The sequence below is a fragment of the Homo sapiens genome, chromosome 2 (assembly GCF_000001405.40).
Source record: "Homo sapiens chromosome 2, GRCh38.p14 Primary Assembly".
Lineage (NCBI taxonomy): Eukaryota > Metazoa > Chordata > Mammalia > Primates > Hominidae > Homo > Homo sapiens.
The window spans coordinates 227,231,073-227,252,197 of record NC_000002.12 but is presented as its reverse complement, the minus strand read 5'-3'; the positions used below and the strand labels follow the sequence as shown (position 1 = coordinate 227,252,197).

General features: G+C 40.0%; 1 protein-coding gene and 1 long non-coding RNA gene across 9 annotated transcripts in view; one reads left to right on the top strand and one right to left on the bottom strand.

Moving 5' to 3' along the window:
* The window catches only part of COL4A3 (collagen type IV alpha 3 chain), a 150,169-nt gene that overhangs the window by 62,595 nt on the left and 66,449 nt on the right, over positions 1–21,125 (bottom strand). For all 8 annotated transcript variants that reach the window (XR_001738601.2, NM_000091.5, XM_005246277.4 and 5 more), the window contains exons 2-11: positions 14,174–14,230; positions 11,966–12,055; positions 7,834–7,878; positions 7,203–7,247; positions 6,182–6,244; positions 5,460–5,513; positions 4,614–4,640; positions 3,678–3,755; positions 996–1,058; positions 827–862 (exon numbers count right to left, since the gene is read on the bottom strand). Coding sequence is in view for 7 of the 8 variants with exons in the window: in NM_000091.5 (NP_000082.2) it covers positions 827–862; positions 996–1,058; positions 3,678–3,755; positions 4,614–4,640; positions 5,460–5,513; positions 6,182–6,244; positions 7,203–7,247; positions 7,834–7,878; positions 11,966–12,055; positions 14,174–14,230 (558 nt within the window). In the remaining variant the exon portion in view is untranslated. The remainder of the gene's footprint in view (positions 1–826; positions 863–995; positions 1,059–3,677; positions 3,756–4,613; positions 4,641–5,459; positions 5,514–6,181; positions 6,245–7,202; positions 7,248–7,833; positions 7,879–11,965; positions 12,056–14,173; positions 14,231–21,125) is intronic.
* MFF-DT (MFF divergent transcript) overlaps positions 1–21,125 on the top strand; it is a 104,113-nt gene that overhangs the window by 72,967 nt on the left and 10,021 nt on the right. The window contains exon 10 of the long non-coding RNA NR_102371.1: positions 14,024–14,112. This is a non-coding gene — a long non-coding RNA (MFF divergent transcript). The remainder of the gene's footprint in view (positions 1–14,023; positions 14,113–21,125) is intronic.

Genomic DNA, 21,125 nt, shown 5'->3' with positions numbered 1-21,125 from the left:
ATAAAAGGCTACCTGATAGTAGGAGATACTGTGTTTAGGACCAATTTCCTGTTGGGGCTCAGCCTCACTCAACATTTTTATAGTTAAACTAACAATTGCACTTCTGTTTTTTTTTTTTTTTTTTTTTTTGAGATGGTGCCTCTTTCTGTCACCCAGGCTGGAGTGCAGTGGTGCTATCTTGGCTCACTGCAAACTCCAACTCCCAGGTTCAAGCGATTTTCCTGCCTCAGCCCCCTGAGTAGCTGGGATTACAGGCATGCACCACCATGCCCGGCTAATTTTTGTATTTTTAGTAGAGATGGGATTTCATCACATTGGCCAGGCTGGCCTCGAACTCCTGACCTCAAGTGATCCACCCACCTTGGCCTCCCAAAGTGCTGGGCTTACAGGTGTGAACCAATGCGCCTGGGCTGGTCTTAACAGAAATGCATGCAAGACCCTGTGTAATGAGCACACAAATAGTCATCTTTTACTTACTAGCATAAGACCAGGTTGGCTTTGTGAAGCAGCACACTACAAAAACTCAGAGGATAATGTGCTGTGTGAGATGATCAGAAATGGAAAACCTGTGGATTAAGAATCCTTGCCTTTTTTCGTGATAAGTAGCTTCTTATAAATTGAATTAAGATTCTTTGTATCAGGGATCAAGGTACTGAAATGCAAGGAGAAAAGAGGTGAGAGCAGCTAGCCATGCTCTTCCCTGCTAGGGATCCTTGTGAGTTCCAGAGAGGTGCCTAACAGTGACCCACATGAAGAAGCAGACCAGGTTTGGCTTTGAGATTGAGTAGGGTGTGCTAGCTGTTACATCATATGAACTGTAGTCTACCTTAGGTCCTCTAGGTCCCATGGCTCCTGGAAAGCCCTAGAAAAATCCACAAATGAAAATCACAGCAGGAAATGCATCCAACCAGAAAAATTCTTTTAATAACTTTTTAATAATAAATAATGAATCTATTAGTTGACAGAGTCTGTAGCAAGGATGACTTGATACTCACAAAGAATCCCGGAGGACCAGGTGGGCCAACAGGCCCAGGAAAACCTGGAGGGCCTGGCAAACCCTTGAAATTGAGAGAAGAATAAGAGTAAGTTTAAATTTACTTCTCACTTAATAACAATGTCCATTAATTAAATGCATTAAAATATTTTAATAAAATCAGAAGAGCATAACACCTCCCCTTTCAGTGGCTGCAGCTAATGATAACAAACATCAAAAAGTGTTGCCATGTGTAACAGGCTGGCAGGACCAACTGGACGATAACATTTCTAAAATGACCAAAGTAGTTGCTTTACTTCAGACGTTTCAAAATTTTGCTTTTCTCTTTCTTCCCACCTCTTTTCTTCTCCCTTTTCCTTTCTCTCTCATTTTGGCCAAGCATGCTCCTACGTTAGGGCCTGCCACCTGCTCTCCCTCTGCCTAGAATCCCCTTTTCCCAGGTATCAGTATAACTCACTCCCTTTTCCTTTTCTTGTCTTTATGCAATTGTCATCCTTTCCATAAAGCCTTCCTGCTTATCCAAAGTTGTAACCCACCTTCCAACCCAGACACTTCCTATCCTGCTTTCGTGCATTATTTTTACTTTTAGCATTTATTACTCACACACCATAGAGTTACTCATTTACACGCTTTTGTTTCCCCCATGAGAATGTAAGCTCTATGAAGGCAATATATATATATATTTTAAGAGACTGGGTCTTGCTGTGTTGCCCAGGCTGGCCTATAACTAGGCTCAAGAGACCTTCCTGTCTCAGCTTTCCCAAGTAGCTGGGACTACAGGCACATGCCACCATGCCTGGTTCATACAATTTTTAAATATCTATCTATCTATCTATCTATCTATCTATCTATCTATCTATCTATCATCTTTTATCTATCTACCTATTTTTTTGAGACAGAGTCTCATTCTGTCCTCAGGCTGGAGTGCAGTGGTACGATCTCTGCTCACTGCAGCCTCTGCCTCCCGGGTTCAAGTGATTCTCCTGCCTCAGCCTCCCAAGTAGCTGGAACTACAGGCGCACGCCACCACACCTGGCTAATTTTTGTGTCTTTAGTAGAGATGGAGTTTCAGCGTGTTGGCCAGGCTGGTCTCAAACTCCTGACCTCAAGTGATCCTCCTGCCTTGGCCTCCCAAAGTGCTGGGATTACAGGTGTGAGCACTGTGCCCAGCCTTAAATCTATATTTTGGCTGATTTATGCCCTACTGTATTCCTAGAGCCTAGAAATAGCCCCTAGCACATAATTGGCAGGTAAAAAATATTTCTTGTGTAATCAAATGTACCATCATTATATCTTCAGCATCATCACAATGACTAATACATATACGATAATCAATACACATTTAAAGAATGTATCAATATCTCAGATTACTATTATCTCTTCTTCCTGGATCCCCTGCCTTCAGCATCTGGACTCTTAAATGTTTTCTAAGCAAAAAAGCGAGAGCCATCATATCTTGCATCTCTTTTCAGAAGCCTATAATGGCTCCTAATTGCATCATTCTGCATTTTTTGCAGCTCCTAATCTAACTTCACATCCTCAGTTAGGATAGCGCACCATACAGGATTTCAACAGCCTCACCTCAAACTCACTTAGGCAAATATCCCATCTCTACCCAGGAATTTTTACATATAATTCTGAACTAAGTTAAAATAATTCTGGTTAATTGGCTGGGCGTGTTGGCTTATGCCTGTAATCCCAGCACTTTGGGAGGCTGAAGTTGGTGGATCACCTGAGGTCGGGAGCTCGAGACCAGCCTGGCCAACATGGTGAAACCCCATCTCTACTAAAAATACAAAAATTAGCAGGGCATGGTGGCCCATGCGTGTAGTCCCAGCTACTCAGGAGGCTGAGGCAGGAGAATTGCTTGAATCCGGGAGGTGGTGGTTGCAGTGACCCAAGATTGCACCACTGCACTCCAGCCTGGGCGACAGAGCCAGACTCCTTCTCAAAAAAAAAAAAAAAAAAAAAAATATATATATATATATATACTAGCTAATTTTGGTTATATATAATTATAACCTGAAAGTTAGCACTTGTGGTTTAGGTCTATGAAAGGGTCTTTTTGAATCACAAAGGAAAGCACACACAGCCCCAAAGGCAGTTGTGTCTCTTTGTATCCCTTTTGGATCATACTCAGGCTACGTACATATAAATCAGAAAAGCAAACACTTCAACTGGAGAGAGTTGCATTTAAACAAAAACCTTTCTTTTCTTTATTATCTCAACTTCAACTGGAGAGAGTTGCATTTAAATAAAAACCTTTTATTTATCATTATGCAAATTTTAAAATAGGGCTGTTATTTAAAATTACAGATTTAAATGATACTCAATGTGTGATACAAAGCTACCCTTATTTTCAACAAATACAAATTAAGTGGTACATAACTATTCCTGTTAGATTCAGGCAAGCTTGGTGACTGAGAGTGAAGAAGAGGACGAAAAACATACTCAAATCATCTTTGCATATCAGCATCATGTAGTTTTCCAGAATAGGGTGAAAGCTTTAGAATGAAATGAGGCCAGACATGTAAATAGAATAAATAGGAATTTCTATTTAAAATCTTCTTAAGAGAGTGAGAGGGACTTATGGGGGAAAAGAGAGACGAAGTAAAGAGAGGCGAAAAGAGAGAGAGAGAGTGAAAAACTGAGAATAATAGGGACCTTCTCTGAAGTGCTGTACCTGGGGTCCTGGAGCCCCTGGCAACCCGGGGTCGCCTTTTGCATCAAGTTCTATATCTTCTTCTTTAGCAGGAGCACCCTTGAAAATGAAGAAGTTCATCAAACATCATCAATGTTATATTTTCAAAACCCCTTCAAGTGCTTATTCAAAGTTATATTTCTTCAAAGATAAAAATGCTTTTCAAGTTATGTACTCAGAGAAATGATTTATGATTTTGTAATTATTCCATTATGAAGAATTCAAAGCATTTTCATATTTTCTAAAATCAAAAATTTACAGTGGGCCCAGTACAGTGGCACATGCCTGTAATCCCAGCACTTTGGGAGATCAAAACGGGCAGATCACCCGAGGTCAGGAGTTCAAGACCAGCCTGGCCAACATGGCAAAACCCCATTTCTACTAAAAATACAAGAATTAGCTGGGCGTGGTGGCATGCACTTGTAATCCCAGTTACTTGGGAGACTGAGACAGAAGAAACGCTTGAGCCCAGGAGGTGGAGGTTGCAGTGAGCTGAGATCGTGCCACTGTACTCCAGCCTGGGCAACAGAGCAAGACTCCATCTCAAAAAAATAAAAAATTTACAGTGGAAAGAAGAAAGACGCAGGGGTAATAAAACATTTCCCAAGATACCAAAAATAGTGACAATCCCTGCCCTAGAATGTGGGGCCCTGAGCATGAGGTCAGTTTTCTTCTCCAAGACCCTATTTCTTTCAACAGTGATACAAAACCTGTATCCTTAAGACTCTTTATGACAAGAGCCAGAAGGAGCTATTTAATAGGAATAAATATCATGTCCCGATTATTATTGTTTCTGAATGATTAAGGTCTGGATTATGAAATCTTATTTGTAATGACTTAAGTCTCATTATTTAATAGACGTCCTTTTCATATGTACAGTTAGAGATTTTCAGTGACAGCATTCCACCAATGACTTACCTTTTGTCCTTTCAAACCAGCAGCACCCTAGGAAAAAAGCAACCTATGAACAACTAGAGGAATATCAAACGCACACACTCCTACTCGGTCTGCTCTGCCCTCTCTGCTATTGTGTATCCTCTCCCCACTGTACACCTCCCACGGCCTTACAAAGCAAAGTCTTCCCTTAATCTTTTACTTCCCACCATATTGTCCTGTCTCTCCTTCGTCTCACCTGTGAACTTCCCATTTTGTTCATTTCCCACCCATTCCTCAGTTCCAAATCTGCCCCCTGCTCCATCCTGCCGTGGAATTGTCCCTTGCTAAGGTCAGACATGATATTGATGTTGCTAAAACCAATGCCAACATGTCAGTACTCCTCTGACTGGACTTTGCAGCAGCATCCAGCAGCTGTCTGCCACTCCCTTCTACTACAATAGGTGTTTCCTGGGCCTCCATAATACACCTCTGCTGGTTTTCTTTCTCCCACCAGGGCTGCTCCTCCTTTACAGGATCATTCTCCTTGATCTCAACATCACTGCTGGAGCTAAGTCTCAGTTCTAAGCCCCTTTTCTCCTCACTCTGACTCCTTGAGTCACCACCAGCTGGAACCTCTTCTCTGAGTGAATCCAAGTACCTCTCATGCATCTCCACTTGGATGTCTCAAAAGTAAAACAAAGCCTCAACCTCTAATCCTACACTCATAATGCATGTATTCATCCATTCCCTAACTATTAGTTGAATGTCTACTATGGCTACCCCAGACTTCCCTAAAGTCATGACGGATTTGTGTATATGGCCATATGGAGTAGACCACTGTTATTTATACTTTATGTCTTTGTTGGGGAATTAGGCATGCAAACCTACCGGGATCCCTGGGTAGCCCAGTGTCCCTGGGAGTCCTGGAAACCCCTGCTCACCCTAAAAGACATACAAAGTTTCTTATTATTCTTAGTTGTTCTAGAAGAGCCTATTCAGATATTTTTCCTGTTTCTCGCTTCCAACCTTGCAATGGTAAATCTAGACAAAGTAACCCGAATTCCTTATGGCTACTGGGTCATGAGGCTGAAGACCAAAAAACCATTATCTTAATTAAAAACAGGATTAGAATACTGTTTCTCAAATTGTGCATAAATGGCAAAGTCTAATTGCGCCAAGAACTTTTTAATTGCTGTTTCCTTCAAACTTGAGTAATTAGTTCATTCATGGCCACCATTCTGGAGAAAAGGAGAGCTCAGTTCGAAAACAAAAGGAGGTGAGTGAACAGTGAAAAGCTCAGTCATTCCTTCCCCAAAACTAATTCTGCACTCAAAGCTTTGGTTTCTGATTTATACACACAGCCTCAGATGAAAACAACCAGTTGAGCTCCAAGTTTTCTTTCTGTGGGAGAACTTTCCTTAAAAGACAATTAGAAAGCAAGGAATGCGAAGAAAGAAAATGGGAAGTTTCCTGCCTCCAAATTATGCTGTTGGTTCTGGCCTAAAGGAATGTTTTCAAGGGAAGCCTGTCTGCCTTTCATTGCCATTTCACCTTGATTTAATCATTCAGCAAAGCATTTATTAATCATCTTCTGTGTGAAAAGTACTTACCTTAGAACCACTGCATCCTGGTACACCGACAAGTCCGTAAGGCCCGGTATTGCCTGGGGTGCCCTGGAAGAAGAACAAGTCTCAATGAGGAGGGTCATCCCAAGAAACAGCACTGAACCCAAGGGAAAAGATGCACTGATTTAAATAGCTCTTGAAATATAAATGATTGTTTAAATGGTTAAGTAGTAAATGTACATTGTGGTTTTACATATAATTTCAGTAGCAACAAACTAAACAGGCTGACTGATATGAAGACTTATCAAATGAGATGTGGATATTTCAAATAAAGCAAACGCCTTTTATCCATAAAATAAAAGAGTCCTTTAACATGCTGTTTTAAGCTGGGGAGAAAGGAAGGGAAAAAGAAGAGGAAAGTGTGCACAGATGAAACTATTTTATTATTCTGTGCTATTAAATACAATCATTTCATTCTACCCTATCCTATCCTATTCTATCAGCTTGTAACATATAGTTTCCTTCAGCACCTGTGGGGGTTAGTTCCAGGACCCCTATGAATACCAAAATCCATAGATACTCAAGTCTCTTATATAGAATGGTACCGTATTTGCACATGACTTATACATATCCTCCTGTATGCTTAAAGTCATTTCTAGATTACTTATAATACCTAATACAATGTGAATTCTATGTAAATAGTTGTTATAGTGTAATGGTTTTTAGGTTTGTACAATTTTTATTGTTTTTTTTTAAATATTTTTGATCTACAGTTGGTTGGTTGAATCCATGGATGTGGAATCACTGGATATGGAGGGCCGACTTACCATATAATTTACTAATTATCCTACCCTATCCTATCCTGTCCTGCTTGTATTTCAGGAAGTACATTTTGACTCATATGTCATATAAATCCACACACTAGTATAATATACCATCCTAAGGTGCTATTTTCTTCATGTAACAAATGCATCAGAACACATTTTCTTGCACGACTGTTTTAACATCTTTATTAAAATGAGCTTACTTTTAAATTTTCTAGCTACGGATTTTTCCCATTACTTACTGGAAGTCCAGGAGAACCAGAAAATCCTGGCAATCCACTTATTCCCTGAAGACATAGGAAAAAGGAGGGGGTGGCAAAAAAAAAAAACTTTAAAAATGTTCAATCTATAAACATAAATTTATTTACCATTGCGATAATCTTTTTCCTCCACTATAACTGGGAATAGCTCGAAACGATTGGGAAAACAAATACTAAAGGTTTAACAAACTTTTGTAAATCTCACATTTATGTAACTCTTAAAAAGATATCATTAAGATTATTTTTGGCTTTTTTGGATCGATTCCTAAGGTACAATTTGCATGCAATGAAGTGCTCCAATCTTTTGAGAACAGCTTAATTGAACAGCTTAACAAAGGTTGACCTATGTGCAGTTTTATATACCATCATCTCATCAGACACAGAGCATCTTTATCACTCCAGAGGTTCCTTCATGGCCTTTCTTGGTCAGTTTAACACTTGCCCCTAATGTGGTAACCACTCCTTTGACATCTACCATTACAGATTAGTATTACCTGTTCTTGAACTTCATCTATGGAACCATACACAGTGTACTCCTTTCTGACATTTGTATAACTCTTACTGTGAAAAGCTGATCTTTTAACGATCAGGGTGGACTGGTTGGACTACTAACCCTTACACCTTTGGAACCCGTGAGTCCTGGAAGTCCTGGAAAGCCCTAGATTCAAGTGAAAAAAGAAAAAGTAAACACTCTGAAAATTATTTGGCACTAAGAAACCCATACATCAAACCCAGTCTCAGTCACATGCCAAGCTGTTTTGCCCTTCTGATTATTTCATTGTTAATAAGATTCAATTGCTTGCTTATTTCATTGGAACTTGATAATTGTTTATCAGAAAAGACAAAAATTCATTCAAACCCTTGCTACTCAAAGTGGGGTTTGGGGCCTGCAGCATTAGCATTACCTGGAAGCTTATCAGAAATGTAGAATCTTAGATCTGCCTCACCTCCCAGACTATTGACCGAGAATCTGCATGTTTAACATGATTCTTTAGTGATTCTTGTGCACATTAAAGTCTGTGCAAAAGTCCTAATTAGCCTCACAGCTGCTGAGGTCTGATAAAAATGAATGACACAACTACAGTTGTGGATGAGAATGCCAGCCAGTATTTCTGTGCACAAGAAACACTCTATTAACAAAATGTGCCTGACATGCACAAGGAAATATATAGCCAAGTAAGGACTGCCTGAACCAGAGATAAACTTGCTTTGGGCATGTAATGCATTCAGTTTCGACGTCCTATTTCTTGGAGAATAAGCTTAAATGGTGACTGTTTCAGCTAGGCCACGTGGTGTGAAAGTTTCATTGTCCAAAAGCCATTTTCATCATTCCAGAGAGTTTCAGTATGTTTTGATTTTTAATTTTATTGTTATTATTTGAGAAAAGGGTTGTTACAGAATCCTCTGAGATTGCACTGTCAAGGCCAAAGTCAGTCTCTCCCATCTATGGCGGAATTCCGGGGTGCATGGCTGTGTTCAAGGCCATTCCCCTTCCCACAGAATTCTATTCACGTGATGCCGAAAGCAGAAGGTTTTACTTGCAGGTTTTACTTTCTCATTGTAAACTTTTTTCATGCAGAAAACATTTAAAATTAAGATAGGAATCTTGTAAATCTAAAACATCTTTTTGGTCAGGTTTTAATATTCTCTAATTGTCTGCCTTTGATTGTATTATCTTTTGTAGCTATTCATACATATCTGTAAGCCTTACATGCTTTAAAATATCAATCTATGACAACATGGTACTCAGGTTTTCTGGATTAATCTTCTGGAATGCCTGCACTCATGTAACCCATACTAAGTGCCATGTGTTTGTGACTATTTTAATGAATTTCAGCATCTCTAAAGAAATGCTGAAGAGAATTAAACAGAGTAGGCTACAGATAACAATTTTTTTAAAAACGGAATTGGCATTAGGCTGATCTAAGTCCAGGGTTGAAGTGGCAAACTCGTTCTACCAATAGAAATGGAAGAAAACCTGGGTCCATGCCTTAGAGGAAGTCAGTGTTCAGTTTCTGCCCAGAATCTGGATGACTTTTTCAAAATTAGGATCGGAAGAAGGAGAAATGGACAAAAAGAACACATACATGGATATGGTAGACAGGGAAATGGCAGGATTACTGGAAAACAGCAAGATTTTGCATTTTACATGTAAGCTGTGGGTGTGGTTTCAAGAGTTTGATTCTGGCATCATATATGTGACATAAGAAACACATATTTGTTCTGTGCCTTTGGTTCCTGACACAGAGCTCCTAAAACCCTTCTAATATTCTGAGTGATAGGGGAGTAAAGACCATCTTTTGTTCTAATATTTGGTGTTTGACCTCACTTGGAATATCCTGGGTGATAGAAGTGTCTTTTGTTCTAAGGAGGCAACTCTTGGTGGGCTCCCAGATGGGGGCTGGTCATCAGAAAGACCAAGTCTTGATTAGAAGCTTGAAACTTTGAGCTCCAGCTGCACCCTTCAGTGAGGAAAGCGGAGCTGGAGATTGAGTTTATAATTGATCCTGCCCACATGATGACACCTCCATAAGAATCCCTGAAGCATGGTGTTCAGAGAGCTTCTGGGTGGGTGAACGTTCACGTTCCAGGACGGTAATGCACCTTAACTCCATGGCGACAGAAGCTCCTGCACTTGGGACCCTTCTGGACCTTCTCCTGTGTATCTCTTCATCTCTCATTCATATCCCTTATAATAAACTGATAAATGTTCCCATGAGTTCTATGAGACTCTTTAGCAAATTATCAAAGCAGAGGAGGAGGTCATGGGAACCCCTGATTTATTTGTAGCCAAGTTGGACGGCATTATGGGTAACTGAGGACCCACTACTTATGACTAGTCCTGAAACAGGGACAGTCTTGTGGGACTGAGCCCTTACCCTATGGGGTCTGCACTAACCCCAGGTATTTAATGTCATAACTGAATTGAGGGGTACCCAGTTGGCATCCAGAGAGTTGGAGAATTGTTTGGTTTGAGGAAAATCCCACACACAGTGTCAAACCAGGTTTGAACTCTGATTTTGCTTCCTGTGAGCTGCGTGACCCAGGAAAAATTACTCAAGTGCTCTGTGTCCGTTTTCTCATCCATGTAGTGGAGGTAATGATGGGAACTACATTGTAAATCACCACAGTCATGATTTGTGGGATTGATGTGAGGAGTAAATGAGATCCAGGGAGAAATAGATGGCCCAATGCCTGGCACAGAGTACATATGCAGTAGGTTGGCTTTGGCTTTGATTATCATTTACATATTTCATACATTATTTTAATACATATATATATATACACACACGTATATATTTTTTTAATGGAGTCTCGCTCTATTACCCAGGCTGGAGTGCAGTAGCATGATCATGGCTCACTGCAGCCTCCGCCTCCAGGGCTCAAGCAATCCTCCTACCTCAGCCTCCTGAGTAGCTGAGACCACAGGCATATGCCACCACACCTGGCTAATTTTTGTATTTTTGGTAGAAACTGGGTCTCCTTATGTTGCCCAGGTTGACCTCAAACTCGTGGGCTCAAGTGATCCTCCTGCCTCAGCCTCCCAGAGCAATGGGATTACAGGCATGAGCCACTGTGTCTGGCCTCTAATACATATTCTAATATATTATGAAATTTGTAAAAGACCTGTATAGATCAATTATAATCATTTTTCATAGCTTATTAGTTGGTTTATAGCTTGCTGGAGGTCAGTAGTCAGGGGAATGAATGTGTGGGTGCGTGAGAAGCCAGGCTTAAGTCTAGCTAATGTCCACAGCAGGAAAGAGTACTCAGCAAATCCAGTGGTTATTCAGTTATTTAGTAAATCCTCTATGGTATTTATTTAAACAAAGCCCTTTGCTGTATCACAGACTTTAGGATAAGAATGTGTGATGAGTGTGAAGGGTCATAGACTCGGGATGTTTAAGGGACCAGAAGGAAAAGAGAAACCCACAAAGGAAGGGAAGGATAGAGAGACAGGAGAAATACAGAAAGAAAGACAGACAAGTGTTTCAAGGAGAGGAGAGCGATCCACACAATTTGAAACTAAGCAGAGGGGTTCAGGTCAGATTAAGACACAAAAGTATGTATTGGCATTGGCCACTTGAAGGTCATTGGTGATCTTTGCTGGAGTGTTTTCAGAGGAGAGGTGGTAGAAGGCAAATTATTGCTAAGGACTGAATAGTAGATGAACTACAGGCAGCATGTTTGACTATTCTTTTAAGAAGTTTGACAGAGAAAGGAAAGTCAGGGAGAAGATAGCAATCCTTTGGTCACAAGACCTAAAAGATGGAGAGGAAGTTTTGTATTATCATGGAAAATATTTGCATGTTTAAGAACTGAAAGAGAAAAGCCAATAACAAAAGAAAAGTTGGAATGTCCGGAGAGAGGGGAGGCACCTCGTGGAACAAGGAATCCCAAAGATGGGGCACAGGTGGTTGGACAGGTCTTGAATAGAAGCAAAAAGAGCTCTGAGTTTTCACTGTAGGAGGAATAGAGGTAGGAACAGATGCAGATGTAGACACTGTAGGTTAGGGAGGGAGATGAACTGGAGCCACAGACTTGAAGCTAATGATGATCATTTGCAATAGTCTTGGAGCAGGTTGCGGTTCTATGTGGCCCACTAATACCGGAAACCAGGAGTTCACCATGCACCTAGCAGTTGGCTAAGATGTGGAATTCTCTCCAGGTTTGCAGCAGCCAGGGGGTAGGCAGGAAGAGGGTTAGGTGGGTTGGGGATTTTCCAAGCTTGCAGGATGACATACCTTGGGTCCCTGCGGTCCAGGCAAGCCTTCAGGACCTGTGAATCCTTTCTGGCCAGGAGAACCGGGGGGTCCAGGAAAGCCCTTCTCCCCCTGTTAAAACCAAAACGAGGTGAGAAACACACAGAGCAGCAACTATCCCACAATAAACACACCAATAACCATTATGTTCTCTTGTTTATGACTTCATGGTGACTCTTTGCATGTTTTTTCCTTGGATTAAAAAAATCATAATTAGCACTCAGGAGTGACTACATAGGCAACCAGAAAGCTACCAGTTGTTAGTATTTGTCTATAGGCTTGAAAGTGGTGGCTCTTGGTCTTGTAGAAACTTGACTTTCTCCCAAATGGTAGGGCTATGTAGAGCAGAGCTTAAGGGAGACGGAATAAAAAATGAAAGGGAAAGCCCAGGTAGAAGCATCAAGGTTAGTGGAGTGTTTGTTGTGGGATGGAGAGACAGTGAGGGTCAGGTGCAAGAAGGTGCCTGGGGAGTGTGCATAATTACTATGTAGCTTGAAAGAACGCCACCAGGCAGGTTATGAGTCTGAGCCCTTTCTTTAATACACAGGAGTTAGTAATTTAATCTGTTATTTGTGTAGGAGATGCAGGAAAGGTAGCAAGGGTGGCATAACCAAAAAGGTGTGAGCTCAGTAATGTTCTAGAAGGAGTCAGATAATATTAGGGGAAAGTACCTAGTAAAAGTGAGTGAAAGTACTTTAAGCCCAAGGCTTGACACAGTTCTACCAACAAATAATTTTTCCATGGATTTGTATCTTGGAATTACGTTTGTCCCTCAGTGTCGGTGGGGGATTGGTTCCAGGACCTTCCCCCCACACGAAAACCTGTGGATTCTTAAGTCCCTTATACAAAATGGCATCGTATTTGCATATAACCTAGAACATCCTTCCATATACCTTAAATCTCTAGGTGACTTATAATACCTAATACAATGCAAATGCTTTGCAAATGGTTGTTATACTGCATTTTTTTATTTGTATTATCTTTAATTGTTGTATTATTTTTTATTATATCCCCCCCTCCCCGAAGTATTTTCAGTATGCCATTGGTTGATTCTGAGGATTCAGAAACCGTGGATAAGGAGGGCCGACTGTACTCTTCAACAGTAAAGGCCACCGGCTGATTTGGTTAATTGGGTCAATTTAGTTACACAATTGGCAAATTAAAACAAAAAAGAACAAGTCAGCTATTTTACATTGTGTGTGTGCACACACACTCAACAAGAAGAGAAATAAAAGAATGTGCTAGACCCCTCTCGCTACTCAGTTACTTTTATACACCCTACAGTAGCATCTTGCAAATAATAGAAACTCAATAAATGCTTCTTGAATGCAAGGAGAATCACAGAGAAAGTGCTTCTCAATGGGAACCTGAATTAGAATACATTCACAGATTCAAGAAAAAACCTAAATCCAACTACATGTGAATTATGAAATAATTTAAAATAAGTATAATTATTATAATTAGCATACACATTATATAGAAATTAGTTTAGATAAAGAGCTTAAATATGTTCTTAAAATATTTTAAAATAGTCATCCTTCAATGTTGTTAAACAATTAATTAGTGTCTCTGAGGAAAGGGTTTGGTAAACAAAGAAAAAAACTTTAGTTCTGCCTCTATCTTAATTATCACAAATTGCAAGTTAATGGAGCGAATTAATGAGATTTCACGGCATTCCTTTTTTTCTTGAATTCTGCAATGGAGCTACTTCCCTCTGCTAAGTTTTGCCTCAACCAGTGTGCTGCTGTGGGATTTCTCCACCAGGGGGCGAACTTGAACCAATGCTGCAGGACAAAAATCTGTGAATTTCAATGTTTATTTTCTGTCAAAGTGAATGAATCAAATCGTTTTCAGTTCTTCTCTTGTGTTTAGCAACATTGTAAATAGTGTATACATATGGAGACTTGTCATAAACTTTCTTTTTCTTTTTCTCATTTGCTACTTATTCTTTACAGACCGAGAGAGTTGTAATTTAATTGCCATTGTATATACAAGGTATCTGAAGCTTCCTAGATGACTTTTTTCTTTTTTTTTTTTTAGGTTAATGTTTATATACAATTACTTTAACATTGGATTTGGGAAATGGAACAACATACTGCGGATCTTTCTGCTACCGATGAAAGAAGAAGGTTGAGTTTTACCTTCTAGAGCTTTACAGTGTAAACAAGCAGTATTAGGGTTTGTTTTTACCTTCTCCCCTTTGGCCCCGTCACAGAAGCACTGGCCTTTGTCTTTACAGACACAACCCTAGGAAGAGGGAAAGAGAAAGGGTTTTGTTTAGAAACAGCTGAATAAATCCCAACCGGCAGGGTAAAAGCAAATGCATTTCTCTGTTCTTCGAGTATTGGACACTATCTGTTAGGAGCCAGGTGACCTTGTAGCAATATATCAATAGAAATATATCAATATATGAATAGCAATAAAGTAGAAAACTGAGAACATGTTGCATAAGGGAGAAATGTCGGATAAGAATACATCATTTGTATTGTACTTGGGAATTTTAAGTGTTAAAGTAATGGCCGTTTTTGCCATTACTTTTAATTACCTTTGTACCAACCTAATAATTTATATATGGAAACGACAAAGCTATCCTTTTTTTCAGGATAATATCTAATTGAATCATAAGAAATTGCTGCTGTCATAGTTAAAAAGTGGTCAAATACTGGCAAATTCTTAGGTTCTACATAATGTTCATATATGTGTATGTGTATATATGTATAATGTATACATGTATATGTACCTTTTATGTAGAACACAATGTATTTGGTTAGTGCCATTACTTGGACAATTTTTTTGCCATTACTTTCAATGGCAAAAGCCACAATAACTTTTGCACCAACCTTATATATATTTGTGTAGATTAATATGCAATATATTCCATAGGTGATATTAAGGTTTTCTTTGACTTAAATAATGTTTAAGACTGGGAAGAGGATCAATACCCATTACACATCTTTAAAGAGAACAAACTAACTCATTAATGCTAGTATCAGAATGTTCTTTCTTTTTTTATTCTCAAATATTTTGAACAACAGAATGTTCTTTCTTATAAAACCAAAACCAAAACAAAAAATTCAGCTGTGAGTTAGACATACCTTATCCTACCTAACTAGTCACTGTGACACACTTACCCCCCAGCCCTCACACCTATGCACATTCCAGCTCCAATGGACATCAAATTTTTAAAACTTTTCTCTGCCAGCAGAGGAACAAATAAAGAAATAGTTTCAAATAATAGACTTAAAATGTGTTTTGGCTGGGCACAGTGGCTCATGCCTGTCATCCCAGCACTTTGGGAGGCCGAGGCAGGCAGGTCACTTGAGGTCAGGAGTTTGAGACCAACCTGGCCAACCTGATGAAACCCCATCTCAACTAAAAAATATAAAAATCAGCTGGGTGTGGTGGTGGGCTCCTGTAATTCCAGCTACTCCAGAGGCTGAGGCAGGAGAATGGCTTGAACCCAGGAGGTGGAGGTTGCAGTGAGCTGAGATCATGCCACTGCACTCCAGCCAGGGTGACAGAGTGAGACTCTGTCTCAAAAAAAGAAAAAATGTGTTTTGACATATATGCTGCATATTATATGGTTACATATTAATCCTTTGCTTTATTATTTTTTCTTCAGGTTAATATTAACTGAAAATTAATTTGCTTTCTCCAGAAAATATGTTGATGGCAGAGGCCAGGCAAATCTAGGAGATATACTGGATGGTTAGTAGGGAAAATAAAAAAAGAAATGCTAGATATTCCTAAGGTGGAGAATTCTACTTATGCAACCAAAACAAAAAAACCCACACAAACAAGAGTATCTTTAACTGAATATCTTTCCTTAGTCTTGGGCAGTAGGCCTTGCTGTCATTCCAGGAAGGGAGCACACAGTAATTTTGAGGCATTCATCATTTGACACTCATCATGTTCATATACACTGCAGTTTATAGGAATGGAAAGTAACTACTGGGTATCTACCCAGAGGAAAATAAGTCATTATACGAAAAATACACTTGCACACTCATATTTATAACAGGACTATTCGCAATTGCAAAAATCTGGAACCAGCCCAGATGCCCATCAATCAATGAGTGGATAAAGACAATGTGGTATATATACCATGGAATGCTACTCAGCCATAAAAAGGAATGAAATAGGCTGGGCACGGGGGCTCACGCCTGCAATCCCAGCACTTTGCGAGGCCCAGGGGGGCGGATCACCTGAGGTCAGGAGTTCGAGACTAGCCTGGCCAACATGGCAAAACCCCATCTCTACTAAAAATACAAAAATTAGTCAGATGTGGTGGCGGGCATCTGTAATCTCAGCTACTCGGGAAGCTGAGGCAGGTGAATCGCTTGAACCTGGGAGGCGGAGATTGCAGTGAGCCGAGATTGCGCCATTGCACTCAAGCCTGGGTGACAAGAGCAAAACTCCATTAAAAAAAAAAAAAAAAAAAAGGAATGAAATAATGGCATTAGCAGCAACCTGGATGGAATTGGAGACCATTATTCTAAGTGAAGTAACTCAGGAATAGAAAACTAAACGTCGCATATTCTCACTTAGCAGTGGGAACTAAGCTATAAGTACACAAAGGCATAAGAATGATACAATGGACTTTGGGGGAAGTGTAAAAGGGGGTGAGGGATTAAAGACCACACACTGGGTACAGTGTACACTGTTTGGGTGATGGGTGCATCAAAATCTCAGAAATCACCACTAAAGAACTTATCCATGTAACCAAACACCACCTGTTCCCCAATAACCTATTGAAATAAATGAAGAGAAAGTAACCGACTGAGAAGGAAATTCTATAGTCTCCTCAAAGTTGCATATTTCTTATTTCTAGAAGACTAACTCATTGCAATTTTCCTCCCAGATATTTGGGATCATGAAGTCATGTCTTGACTAAATGATTTTAATCTTGTCTTTCTGGGTTTTTAAACTTTAATGCTCTTTTCAACCACATCTTTTAAGTATACTCTACTAAAACTCAAAGTGTGGATTCCCAGACGGCAGCATCTCCTGGAGACTTGTCAGAAATGCAAGTCCTCAGAAATGCAAGTCCTCAGAAATGCAAGTCCTCAGTGCCCCCTCCCACCCCCGAGCATGCTACTCCCTCACAGCATCTGGAAGAGGCAGCAGGGCCTCCGAAAGGAAAGCCTGAGTCCTTCACCCAAGGGTACAAGATACTGGGTAAGGAAGCTTAACCTGGGCATGGACCTTGGGCTCAAGTGTGCACGGAGGAAGCCGGCCACTGTTTTCAAATGGGCAATGATCACCTCTGATTCTTCTGCCTCCCAGATGCCACACAACACCTGGATTCTGAGCCTCTAGGGCTAGAGGGAAGAAGAGCAGATTGGCAATTCTCTAACCTGTGAGAAGGTGTGGGGGCCTTGAGACAGGCTTAATTTTATTTCTTGGAGTAAGAGTCACATTCACCATATGCTACTGGAAATCTTTCGGTCTTAGCTTAAGCAAGTGTTTGTTGATCTTCTCCAGACTAGACTGGTCCCCTTTGCCTATACACTCCCATTGAGCCTCTGCAGTTAGATATTCAATGCCTATTTTTTTCTGATGACTGTTTGTCCCAGGAGAGAAGGAATTGTGCAGTCATAGTCACACTGGTATCTTTGGCATATAAGATGTCGTAAACAAGTGTTTATGGATTGACTGGATGAATCAGTGGATGGACAGCTGGTTTATTTGCATCCAATTTGAAGGCTTATGAATTGCATGGCTATTTGATGGGGTGCCATGATGCAGATATTTTCTGTATGTATGAATTATGAACAACTATGATCAAAATGGCAAAAAATGGAACCAGAGGCTTTGGCTATTTTAACACACGTTAAAATTAACACAAGCCTAATTATTTATTAGTTGCTTGGATTAAAAGAAATTCTTTTGGAAAAAGTTTAAACCCAACCCTCAGAAGAGCTGACAAACAGTACCGGAAACACTGGTGTCTCCTCCCATCTAAGTTCACCAACTGTTAAGTTGTCCCACCTACTCCATCTCTCTGTCTGTCTCTCCTTCTCTCTTTCTCTCTCTCCACATACACATACACCACTTTCCCCCAAATCATTCAAAAGTAGACTGCACGCAACATGACACTGTACCCCAGATACTTCTGTATGCCTCTCCCCCATCCAATTACAACCCTTATCCCCAAAACTAAGAAATCAATGTTGATACAGTAACTTCAGGATACCAGTTTTTAAATTAGATCTTCAGCCTTATACAAGGTCCTCAATGACCATAGAAAATGAAAAACTGTTTGATTTTTAGCAAATCCATCATTTTATGCCAGAGATTTTGTCAGTGCTTTCACCCCCAAGAACACCTGAGGCCTGATGTCAACAAGTGGCTATCACAGTTGCAAGAATCCATAGGACCCGCCTGGGTGCTTAGCAGTCGGGTGAGAGGCTCTGATGTGAGCGTGCTGTTCCCGTGAGTCCTCCCTGCCTGGTGTCTGCTTTCCCATCACCACCTGCCGCCATGAGGTGCCTCCTTTATTGTCATCAAAATCACAGTTCTTGATTTTTTCTTTTTGATATTGTCCCTTAGTTTGGGTCTTGAACTTTTAGTGGTAAAATATTTAGTTTTTGTTGTATTTGGTTTGTTTGCACATTAAGGTAGAATTTCTATATGATAGCTGAGTACCAGCTTATTAGTTAATTGAAAAAGTTGAAGAGTCAAAAACAAACAAACAGAAACATGAACACTAGTTAACTTCAAATATATAGATGTTCACAAATTCTGTAATCTAGTGAGACAGGGTCCAGGTTGTTCCTTTGGGAATGGGTCTGCTGTTTAGAGTTCAGTGGCATCATTCCTGCTAAATCACACCCACAGTGCACCATCAACAAATTCCAGTTTTAGAATTTTTTTTTTTTAACAGGCCAATTGCTTGTAGGGGCCAGGCATGGTGGCTCACTTCTGTAATCCCAGCACTTTGGGAGGCAGTGGCTGGTGGATCACTGGAGGTCAGGAGTTTGAGACCAGCCTGGCCAACAACGTGAACCCTGTCTCTACTAAAAATACAAAAATTAGCAGGGTTTGGTGGTGCATGCCTGTAACCTCAGCTACTCAGGAGGCTGAGGCATGAGAATTGCTTGAACCCAGGAGGCTGAGGTTGTAGTTAGCTGAGATTGTGCCACTGCACTCCAGCCTGGGTGACAGAGCTAGACTCTGTCTCAAAAACATAAAAAGTAAATAAATACAATAAAAAATATAAAAGATGCTTGTGGAACAATCTGACTATAGAGTCCTTCTGGATATTAATCCATATTTTTCTCTAACTCTTTAAGTGCTAGCTCAGCCACATGTAATTGAATAGTTTTTCTCTTAATTTCATTTTATCAAATCTTTCAACCTTATTTTTACATAAACAAATGTCTTTTTATGCATTCATATTTAATCACTTATTTATTTAATATTTAATTAAATTACTTCGTTAAAATAGTAATTTCAACCATCAGGAATTAGAGTGAAATGGCTAATTTAAAACCATCTGGTCAAAAAATGGGCAAAAGATTTGAATAGACATTTCTCAAAAGAAGACATACAGATAGCAAACAGGCATATGAAAAGGTGCTCAAAATCATTGATCATCAGAGAAATTCAAATCAAAACTACACCGAGATATCATCTCACCCCAGTTAAAATGGCTTATATCCAAATGACAGTCAATAACAAATGCTGGAAAGGAAGTAGAGAAAAGGGGACCCTTGTACACTGTTTGTGGGAATGTAAATTAGTACAACCACCATGGAGAACTGTGTGGAGGTTCCTCAAAAAACTAAAAATTGCACTACCATATGATCCAGCAATCCCACTATTGGGTATCTATTCAAAAGAAAGGAAATCAGTGTATCAAAGAGATATCTGCACTCCCATGTTTGTTGTAGCACTGTTTACAATAGCTAAGATTTGGTAAAAGGTGAAAGATTTATGCAATCTGAAGAGAAACCAGAGTATACTATAGCTAAGATTTGGAAGCAATCTACGTGTCCATCAACAGACGAATGGATAAAGGAAATGTGGTACATATACACAATGGAGTACTATGCAGCCACAAAAAAGAAGGAGATCAAGTCATTTGCAACGACATGGATGGAACTGGAGATCACTATGTTAAATGAAATAAGCCAGGTACAGAAAGACAAACATTGTATATTCTCACTTATGTGTGGGATCTAAAAATCAAATCAACTGAACTCAGGGACATAAAGAGTAGAAGAATGGTTACCAGAAGCTTAGAGGGGTAGTGAAGGGTTGGATGGGAGGTGGAATGATTAATGGGTACAAAAAAAAATTAGAATGAATAAGACTATTTGGTAGCACAGTAGGGTGATTATAGTCAATAATAACTTAATTATTTTAAAATAAAGAATGCAGCCAGGCACGAGGGTTCACGCCTATAATCCCAGCACATTGGGAGGCCAAGGCAGGTGGATCACTTGAGATCCGGAGTTCGAGACCAGCCTGGGTAACATGGAGAAACCCCATCTCTACAAAGAAATGAAAACAAAAACAAAATTTAGCTGGACATGGTGGTGCACACCTGTAGTCTCAGCTACTCAGAGGGCTGAGATGGGAGGATTGCTTGAACCCAGGAGGCAGAGATTGCAATGAGCCAAGATCATGCCATTGCACTCCAGCCTGGGCAACAGAATGAGACCCTGTTTCAGAAAAAAAAAAGGTAATTGGATACTTTGTAACTCAAGGGATAAATGCTTGAGGGGATGGATGCCCCATTCTCCATGATGTGCTTATTTCATATTGCATGCCTGTATCAAAACATCTCATGTACCCCATAAATAGATATACCTACTATGTGGCCACAAAAAATGTTTAAATAATATAAAAAATAAAAGAAAACTGATTGGTATAGCAGACATGTGCTGGTATACTAGGGGGACGCCTCCAGCTCTGAGCTGCTATTGCACAGAGGTATGGAGAATTCTGGTCCATCCAGCAGTCAGATAAATGAAGAGCCATTGTGAAAGGCTTGACTGTTCTCTCTTGTTGACTGTACATATCTCAGATGATATGGCAGACATGTACCAGTTATACATGTCTGCCATATCATCTACTTGCATGTGGTCTGCCCTGCAGATGAGGCTCCAGAGCCAGGTCTAGAGCTGTGTTTCTA